Here is a 10,475-nt window from a genome sequence, read left to right on the forward strand (position 1 = left end):
AAGCATCAGGAAGGACCTATGTTCTTCCCAAGAGAGATGAGCTCCAACCTCGACTTAGCCTCTGTGTAGCTGTGTAAACTTAGATGTACTCCCCCACTGTCTCTGAACCTGGCTCTGAGCTCTCGTCATCTGTAAAATTTGGGTCTTGGAAGGTATTTATCAGTCTATATTCTAGTCCCCAACCCCCATGTGCCTGGGGGAGCCCTTCAACCTCCATCCCTGGTCCTCCTGTGACCCAGCATCCCTCTGAGCCTGGGGGGTGCTCCAGCCCTCTCTGTTCTGCTGACATCTTCATAAGCAGAGCCTGGGACTCTTAAGAAGGTCTAAGCACCATTATCATCATAGAACACACTTGTGGGATACGAGAATAAACCTGAAATACCATCAGTCCAGAGACAGACACTTACTACAGTTTCATCATTACCAATGTTGGTATCCAAACTTTAAATGTTGACATTTTTCTGGGGAAGAATACCAATTTCTCAACACTGTTTGCTACACATGGCTCCTGGATTTCCTCTCCCACATTCCCGCCATGCTTAATAAACACTCCTGTTCAACAAGCCCATTGGATAATATCCCTAATCTTTCAGGGCTTAGTGGTACATTATTCAGATAGTTTCTGGTAATTTGCTCCTAGAAGGAACTCTGCACTTAGGATTAATGGTTCAAGAGGATTCCCAAAGCCTTCATCTTCGATTTCCAAAAATGCTTGGCCATCTATAGGAGTCATTTCTATAAACATTTTGTTTAAATTACCCTCCAGAGACTCAAAACTGTGAGGAAATGCCTTCCTAAAGCATTCTTGTAAAGTCTGTTGTTTTGCATTTGAATAATCAGAGTAAAACATGTGTGGAGTGCTTTGTTTATTTTTAGCAATGTCTTTCCTCATTCTCTCCATTGTCTTTATTATGTCTGACTCAAAGATGATTTATCTTGGATATGTACTGATTTTAGAGTTGTTTTATCTTTGGACATGACAAAGTCGACATTTTGCTTCTAATGTATTCCTCACAAGATGTAGAGAATTCTCAAATAGTGCTTTTGCTTCAAGGACCCCTGGCTTAAATGAAATTAAGCCACTAAAAAAATGAAAGAGTTTTAAAAGGGATTTTGTTTCTTGTGAGAACTGCTACTTCTCTAAAATTTCTACAAATATTACATTTATAATACAATTAAATCTCCATTGTTCTGCTTTTTATTGTTATTTAAACTTTATAAGCTCAAACAGTCTATAATATTCTTCCTAAAATGATCGAGCAAATGCACTCTCTTAATATTTGTATTAATAATCAATCTTTTTTCTACTCAGCTAAAGTTCTTAATTATTGTGTTTCTTCATAAAATTAATAGCTTTCATAATCATTACTTATTGCAGCATTTTACTCTTGAAATAATCAATATGCGTTTACAACTGACTACTTCAATTTCAGCACAAAAAGTATGTGGGAAAAATTGCATAAGCAAATACATTGTGAAGAAGAAAAAGAGAGAAGTGGAGGGGAAATTATAGATTAAAAACAGGGAACACCAAGCGACAGTGTTCAGAGATACACACAGGGTGATAAAATAACGTGAGAAAATAAGAGACCCTGACGTGGAAATTAGCACACTGGATTCCTGGGTTGGGGGACTGGGAGGTTTGTCTGGGAGCAGTGCAGGGCTCTGGATGGGTGGCAAGGTTCTGTCTCCCGTGCGGGGTGTAGGGCGGGGAGCCATCCAAGGATATTCACCTTACAATGATTTATTTTTAAATTTAATTTAAATACTTTCTTTTGGTAGAGACGGGGGGTCTCACTATGTTGCCCAGGCTGATCTCGAATTCCTGACCTCAAGCAATCCTCCCACCTCAGCCTTCCAAAGTGCTGGGATTATAGGCATGAACCACCTTGCCTGGCCTTACAATGATTTGTTAAGCTAACCATGATTCATGTGGCTTGGGGTATTTTTACTTAAAAATAAAACAAGTTTTTAGAAAGGAAAAAAATTTGAATATGGAAATTTTAAAAACAAAACCAAACCTGGGACATAATGTAGCATCAAAGACTCTTCTTTCATAAATTTCTTTTTCCATCTGCCTGTGTTCCTTCATGTTTTCCCTTTTTCCCTCTTGCCCTGGTGTATTGACCCTCTCCTTAGGTGCAGGCAAGAAACTTGCTCTCTCTCTCCTCTTGCCTCCTCGTCCCTCCCCTTCCTCTTCCCTCCCCTTCCTATTCCCTCCCCTTCCTCTTCCCTTTCCTCTCCTCTGGCATTCAGTGCACCCCTCTGCTGTAGCTCCCACCGCAATTAACTGAAATTCTCTTTTTGTGTGTCTGTCTCTCCTATTGTCCCATAAGCAGCTTGAGAGCAGAGGTGAGGTAGGTTTTGTGCAGTTTTGAATCCTCAAAGCTTACCATACTCCCAGACATATACTAGACATCCAGAAAATAAGGTTTAAACTCAACAACTTTTCCTTTTCCCATAACGTCTCAAGTTCCACTTAATGATTTTCAATGATTATTCAAAGAGGACTATATATCTTTTAAGAATTAATTTGTCAGAAAAGGGATTTCTGGCTGAAAGAATTACAGATTGAGTTTCTGTTTGTAAGTCCAAGAGCCTGCGGGGTTATATGCCTGCTGCGCATGTCATTTAGGGAGTGGAATTTCAATTGACTTCCGTTTTTCCTTTTTGTAAAACACTGTTTGTAATTTTACCACAAATGCACATTTATGTAATAAAAGCATAATTATAATGTTCATTTAAAATGATTTTTTCCATCTAATTCACATTCACTTAGCAGTTTAAAAAGCATAAGATATGTTTACTGCAAATTGCATCTGAAATGCTTCCCTATGTTTGAGAATGAAGTTTCAGCTAGAACAGTGACTCCTGAGATGTACTCTGCTCAGGTGTTTCCAAACTTGGTGACCACAGTCCCTCTCATCCTGCATGCTCCTCCACCTTCTGACTTTGCAGCTCCTCCTATAAGGATGTGGAATCTCTTTCCCCTCCCCTTGGGTCTGGGCCTCCTTGTGACTTCCTTTGGCCAGTAGAAGGCAGTGGGGGTGAAGCTATATGATTTCTGAGACTAGGCCTTAAGAGGCCTTGCAGCTTCTTTTGCTCTCTTAGAAGTCAGCCATGGTGTAAAGCAGTCCAGGCTCTCCTACTGTAGAGGCCATGTGGAGACAGAAACCCTGGAGGATGGGAAGCCATGTGGAGGGGAATAAGCCAGTGAAGCCCTCTCTCACTCCACCCTCGTCAAGCTCCCAGCTAAATGCAGCCACATGAATGACCTCACCTGCTTTGTGGAGCAGAAGAACCACCCAGGTGAGCCTAGCCAACCCACAGAATGGTGACAAATAATAAATGGTTGTTGTTTTCAGCCATTAAGCTTGGGAGGTGGTTTGTTAGGCAGCAGTCAATCATTTGTTCTTATGACAGACATTTGTTTGCTGGTTAGATTGGATGTAACCTGGGATCACATGATCACACATTCACAATGTCAGAAATGTCCCCAACAACAGACACTTGGCAATTTGGAATTAATAAACCCAGCTTCAGAGAATCCCTGTTTCCCAGTCACTGTTTCTCAACTTTCCTACACTGCCACCAAGTATGAGCCAGCGTCTATCCCTCTCACATTCCTCACCCCATTAATAGACTCCCTGTTTTTCTTGTATCTCGTTAATTTCTGGTATGTTTCCTAGGACCTGAAAACATAACCAACTGTCTTTCATCTTAAAAAAAAAAACTCCCCCTTCCCTCACCCCAATCAAGTATCCACCTTAGGCTTCCATACCATCTCTTTCTCCTCTTTCTAATCAAGCTTTTCCAAAAAGCTGTCTTCATATTCCCATTTCCTATTCACTCCTCTCTCTATTTATTATGACCTGGCTTTAGAATGGTCTTCCGCCAGCATCACAGAGGAGCTCCACATCACATAACCAGATGGATTCACCCCTGCCTTGACCTCTCAGACACAACACCAGCACCATGGCCACTCCTAGAGCCTTAAAAGTCTCTCCATTTTTATGCCTCCCACCACACTCTGCTTTCTCCTTCCCGCTCTGACTTTCCCTTCTCTGTTCCCCTCCTGGCCTCCCGAGCACCTCAGCCAGGCCCTTAGGCACCAGTGTCCTCAGGGGTCTCCAGGGCTCCTCTTCTCATCCCGGTCTACGTGCTCTGCTTTCAAGTTTGCAGGCTCTCTCAGGTTTTACCTAAAGGTTTTCCTAAGTAAGTGTTCTTCCCCCAAACCTAAGAGCTATGAATTCAATGACCTATAGAACCTCTTTCCTTGTATGTTCCAGAGACGAGATACCTCAAGCTCCACGTGCCAGAATGTGACTCTTTGGCCACCCCCCAGCCCCCTATCCCCTACTCCCAGTGACTTTGTCTCTTGTAAGAGGCCTTGCCCTAGGCCACTGGTTCTGCTAAGGCCAGAGAAATGCCCACACACATGGTTGCTTATGGGAAGGGGTCATCTGAGCCAAAAATGGGGAATAGAGGCAGCTGCATGCCTTGAGCCACACTTGCAGAATCTGCCTGTCCAGGCCTCTCTTGTTCTCAGTGGTGACCTGTCTGCCTCCTGTTCCTGGGTCTTCCTCTTTCTGTGACTGAGACACCCTCCCCCACTGCCCGGCTGGAGGCTCAGCTCCATCCTCAGCTCCAGGACCAGCCCTGACCCGGGGAAGGAGGGGTTCACAGGGTCACAGTTGTGCCTATACTTCCTTGAACCTCTGTCCTCATCCCTGGGCCCACCCTTGCTTCTGAGAGCTGGGCCACCCTGTGTGGCCTCTGACAACTGAGTTCCTGCCTTCTTCCCCATGCTGGAGTTTGTTCTACAAAGCTCAGATTGGAGACCTTGTTGTTCTTGATTACAACTTACTTCTCTGTTTCCCTACCTCTACAGATGTGGTTTCTAGACAGTTTTCAATTATATTGATGAGTAAAAAATTTTTAAAAACAGAAAGAAAAATACAACTTTATTTTTAAATAAAAAAGAAAATATCATTTACTATCAACATCATTTTCTACTTTAAAAAAAAGACATTTTATTTTATTTTATTTTATTTTATTTTACTTTATTTTATTTTTTGTTTTTTGAGACAGAGTCTCACTCTGTTGCCCAGGCTGGAGTGCAGTGGCATGATCTCAGCTCACCACAACCTCCCCCTCCCAGGTTCAAGCAATTCTCGTGCCTCAGCATCCCGAGTAGCTGGGATTACAGGTGTGTGCCACCACGCGCAGCTAATTTTTGTATTTTTAGTAGAGATAGGGTTTCACCATGTTGGCCAGGCTGGTAAAAAGGGACATTTTAATACAAACGAAGTAATCAAAGAATTCTGATCTCAGCGCGCAGGATGGCCCTTTTCAAACAGAGGCAGCTGGCCATTTTCCTTGCCTTCATTTTCCAGGGTTTTCTCCTCCCATGAATGGGCAGTGAAAGCTTCATCCTGGACCAATCCTGCTCCACGATGGCTTTGGGGACCTGCCTTGCCCCAGTGTTTTGTCTGCAGGCCTGGCAACTTTGACCATGAGAGGCAGACTCCCTCTGACTGGAGGCTGACAAGTGGAAACTATTGGGATTATTCCCAGTGGCCTTACATGGGGGCGGCTCAGCTTGGTGAATTCTCAGGCATGATCCAAATCTGCCTCCCAGGCCCAGAACATCATTCTCTGGGATCCCGGGGCTGCCTGGGCTCTAGGAAGCCATTCTCTGCTGCTCCTGGTGTGCCCCTAGGGCTGGCTGAGGTTGGGAAGGCCTCCCCTCGCTGGAACAGAGGACAAAGTGATTCATCTTGATCCCCGTGAAATGGTTGTGCAACCCCAAGAGCCTGAGATTCATCAAAGAACGTGTCTCTTTATTTCCTGTTCATTACATTGCCAGGCACAATCCAGACAAGACATCCCAGCACTGCTTCCAGACCTCTGCTTGAAGGTGGGATTCTTCAATCTCCTGGACATTCTTAGAGTCTGGCTTTACACCACGTCTCCTTTGCACGATGGCAACACCAGCAGTATCTGCCCATGTGCAAGAGAGCCTCTGCAACAGCCCAATGGAGAAATGGAGGAGTTTCCAGGCCCACGTGACACTGAATCACAATTGTCTTTTACCGCTTGGGATGATGATGCCATCACTTTTCTCTAATTTTTTTTTTTTTTTTTGAGGCAGCCTCACTGTCACCCAGGCTGGAGTGTAGTGGCGTGATCTTGGCTTACTGAAACCTCCACCTCCCGGGTTCAAGTGATTCTCCTGCCTCAGCCTCCTGAGTAGCTGGGATTATGCCTACTATATCTCCAGCCTACAGGTGTGCGCCACCACGCCCAGCTAATTTTTATATTTTCAGTAGAGACAGGGTTTCACCAAGTTGGCCAGGCTGGTCTTGAACTCCTGGCCTCAAGTGATCCGCCTGCCTTGGCCTCCCAAAGTGCTTGGATTACAGGCGTGAGCCACTGTGCTCGGCCACTTTCCTCTGATTTTTAAGTGAAGTATATACATACATACATACACAGCAGGCAAGTGGAATTCCAAGCACAGAGGGCTTTTCAGCATAATTCTGAGAAGGCAACTTTGAGCAAATAACTTGCAGACATTATACAATTCTTTCTTGTTAAAGTCAAGGCAAGCTTTTCTGGGAAGGGGCATGAAGACCTTGACATAGTCTGCTTAGTTTTATTTATTTATTTATTTATTTATTTATTTAGAGACGGAATCTCGTTCTGTCACCCAGGCTGGAGTGCAGTAGCGCGATCTCAGCTCACTGCAACCTCCGCCTCCCCGGTTCCAGGTTCAAGGAATTCTCCAGCCTCAGCCTCCCGAGTAGCTGGGATTACAGGCCATAGTCTGCTTTAAAAATAATAATAATAATAATAAAAGACAACAGTGAAGAAGAAAGAAAGAATGATTCCCTCTTCGCACAAGAAGAAAGTTCTGATGCTTTTGGTATCATGGGGTCTTAGGTTCAATGTGTAGTGAGAGCTAACTAAGACAATTTTTATTTGTTCCTCTGAACACTTCTGTATTCCTATGACTACGTCATGCTTTTCCAGTTGCTATAACTTATGGAGTGTTTTGATATTTGGCATCCTCACTCATTAGTCTTCCTTTTCAACATTTTATTGGACACGATTACGCTATTATTCCTCCAAATTATTGTTAGAATCAATTTATCAAGTCATAAAAATGTCCTCTTAGAATTTTTATTGGAATTGCGCTAAATTTAATTCTTAATTTGGGAAGATCTGACAGTTTTGACAACTTTGTAATACTGGCTCTTTTGATCCAATAATTATGGATTTCCACTTATTTTGGGAATTTTACTTCAGCAAATTTTAAAAGCTTTTTCCTAGGTTCTTATTAGATTCATCTCCAGGATTTTAAGATTTCAGTGCCAGCCTACCTTCTCTCTCTCTCTCTTCCACCTTCCTCCCACCTCTCTCTCTTTCTTTCTTTTCTTTTCCTTCCTTCCTTCTTCCCCTCCTCCTACTCCTCTTCTTCCTTCCTTCCTTTCTTTCTTTTTTTTTCTTTCTTTCTTTCTCTTTCCTTCTTTTTCCTTCCTTCCTTTTTCTTGCTTGCTTGCTTGCTTTCTTCATTTTCCTCTTTTGTGGCCAATATCTTCCCAACCTATCTTATTGCAAATGATTATTATTAGTGCAAAGAAAAGCTACGGATGTTTGTGTAATGAGTTTATACCCAGCTCCTTCTCGAAGTCTTGTTCGTTGAATAATTCTTATTTAAATCTTACATGCTTTCTAGACATACAAGCCTATCTTCTTCAAATTATGAGCTTTGTCTCTTATTTTTAATAGTTATTTTACATATTATTCCTATTCAATCACAATTGCCAGAAAGTTCAAAACTATGTTGACAAATTCCTGGTGTTGCACACACCTGTCTTCAGAGAGATTGCATAGAGAATGCCAAATGCTTCACCATTCGAGAGACTTAGCATCGCTTCCTGAAAAGTCATCTTGATCCTACTAAAAAAATATTCTACTCATGACAGCAGGCATTCACCTCTCAAGGGTCTATGTCCAGGGAAATGTTTCTGCCTCCATCTCCAAGTGGCCATGTGAGGCGTTTTAATAAAATGAGCCTCCGACTAAGACCACACCAGAAGGCTCCTGTGGTTGGGCACCAGTGGCAGGTGACAGAGAGCTCCAACCAAAATGCCCTTAAAGTTCTCCTCAGCTTGGTTTGACTTCAGATGGCTTCTCATTGAGTCTAGGCCCTGACCTCCCTTATTTTAGAGCATCTTCTTTAGAAAATTTGTCATTGAAAATGATTTCTCTGTCCCTTTGAGATGTTGGTAAATCTTTTCAAAAGCCTCTTGCTGGCCAGGCACAGTGGCTCACACCTGTAATTCCAGTACTTCGGGAGGCCGAGGCGGGTGGATCACCTGAGGTCAGGAGTTTGAGATCAGCCTGGCCAACATGGTGAAACCCCGTCTCTACTAAAAACACAAAAATTAGCCGGGCATAGTGGTACATGTCTGTAATCCCAGCTACTCAGGAGGCTGAAGCAGGAGAATTGCTTGAACCCAGGAGGTGAGGCAGAGATTAGCCGTGAGCCAAGATTGCACCACTGCACTCCAGCCTGGGCAACAGAGCAAGACTCCGCCTCAAATTAAAAAAAAAAAAAAAAAAGAAGAAGTTCAAGGCTACAGTAAGCTGTGATCACACCACTGCTCTCCAGCCTGAGTAACACAGCAAATCCCTGTCACTAAAAAATAAAAAGGGAAAAAGAAAAATAAATAAAAAGAATTGTTTTACACTTAGATTTCAAGATTTAAAAAGCTGTCAAATACCATATATTCAAAAATTCTGGTATCGTAAAAAGAGAACAGTAGAGATCTCTTAATGCTGCAATTATCCACTGAGGTTTCACAGTTTATGAATATCATGCTTTTTTGTAGAAATCTGCTAAGCTTACTGTTGAATCATTTATGTACACTGACTAATTTTTGAGCCATCATCAATTTTCATGAATTATGTAATTTAGCCTCAGCAATGTATCACATGCATTTGAAATAATTAAACTTTTCAAAGAGACTTAATACATGCAACAATGAGTAAATTAACGCTTTTATTAACATCAGCAGAGTTCTTTTTTTTTTTTTTTTTTCTGGGAGACAGGAGTTTAAGTTCAGGTAAAGCGACACTCTTGGCTTTGAGGCTTTTCTCTAGCTTTAAACTCTAGCCTGCAACTGTTTCTGATTAGCAGCTAGGTGACCTTCGTTGTACAAAGAGGCATCATCCTCTTGATCTTGGGTTTTCTTTCTAAAGGGCCTTGTGTGTTTTCATCCCACATTTTAAGATATAATAGCTGCATTGAACGAATTGGGGGATATTCCTTCCATCTTTATCTTTCCATTGGTATTATTTAAATAACATGAGGATTATCTGTTACTTAAAAAGTAATCTGCCTTGTAAGAACTTAACATCTTAAATGAGCTTAAAAACAAAAGAGCTTGCCTGTTAAACTGTCTAGGCCTGATGCATTTATAAGTGATTATTAAATACACTTCTCCACTTTTTCTATAATTATTCTATTCTTTAGTATTTTACCATTTAAAAGGAGACTTCTTGCTTTCTGAAAACACTCTTTCTTTTTCTACATGTCTGCTGGCATTCACCTCTCAAGGTTCTGTGTCCCAGGCAAATGCCACTCCAAGATGCCAGGCCTGTCTCTGCCTTCAGTCAACTTCCACGTGGGTTTCCAAAGCTTAGTATTAAATTGGGTATCAGGTTAAAATAAACATCAGAAACATTCTCATCTTTTTTCTTTCTCACTAGCATTTCTACTTCCTTTTGTTTTGTTTGTTTGTTTGTTTGTTTGTTTAAGAAATAGGGTATTGCTCTGTCACCCAGGCTGGAGTACAAAAGCATGATCATGGCTCACTGCAGCCTTGACCTCCCGGGCTCGAGCAATCCTCCCATCTCAGCCTCCTGGGTAGTTGATACTACAGGTACACGTCACCAAGCCTGACTATTTATTTGTTTTTTGGGGGGTTTTCTTTGTTGTAGAGACAGAGTCTCACTATGTTGCCTAGGTTGGTCTTGAACTCCTGGGTTCAAGCGATCTGCCTACCTTGGCCTCCCAAAGTGCTGGATTACAGGCGTGAGCCAACGTGCTCAGCCTCTATTTCCCGTTGAACTGGTTTTGGTAAGATATTTTACAGGCTAACTGTGTATTTCATCTAGCAGCCAGCAAGCGTTTGCACATCGTTATAAATTATGTCTTGTTATAAACTTGTTCTAACAACAATTCACTCTGAGCAGGCATTCCGCATGCTCATTACATAATATTTTTGTCTCTGTGCAGCTGCACATCTGCACCGTAGTGTAGCTCCCTGTCCCCGGGTGACCGATTGGAACTAGGTTTCTCCATCCCCAATAGGCCTCACTGTGTCTCATCACACCAAAGTATTTTTAAAAAGGCTTAATGAAGACAGCATCCTCTGTATCATCCCCCGGGAAGGCTGAGCAGGTTG

At 42.4% G+C, this 10,475-nt stretch overlaps 1 long non-coding RNA gene across 1 annotated transcript; it reads left to right on the plus strand.

The window, feature by feature from the left end:
* Positions 1-3,949: 3,949 nt before the first annotated feature.
* Positions 3,950-6,874, plus strand: LL22NC01-81G9.3 (uncharacterized protein FLJ39582-like). Its single transcript, NR_038954.1, has 4 exons — positions 3,950-4,215; positions 5,092-5,209; positions 5,870-6,290; positions 6,688-6,874. It is a non-coding gene; the product is annotated as an uncharacterized protein FLJ39582-like (long non-coding RNA).
* Positions 6,875-10,475: the final 3,601 nt, after the last annotated feature.

The sequence above is a fragment of the Homo sapiens genome, chromosome 22, assembly GCF_000001405.40.
Source record: "Homo sapiens chromosome 22, GRCh38.p14 Primary Assembly".
NCBI classification, from domain to species: domain Eukaryota; kingdom Metazoa; phylum Chordata; class Mammalia; order Primates; family Hominidae; genus Homo; species Homo sapiens.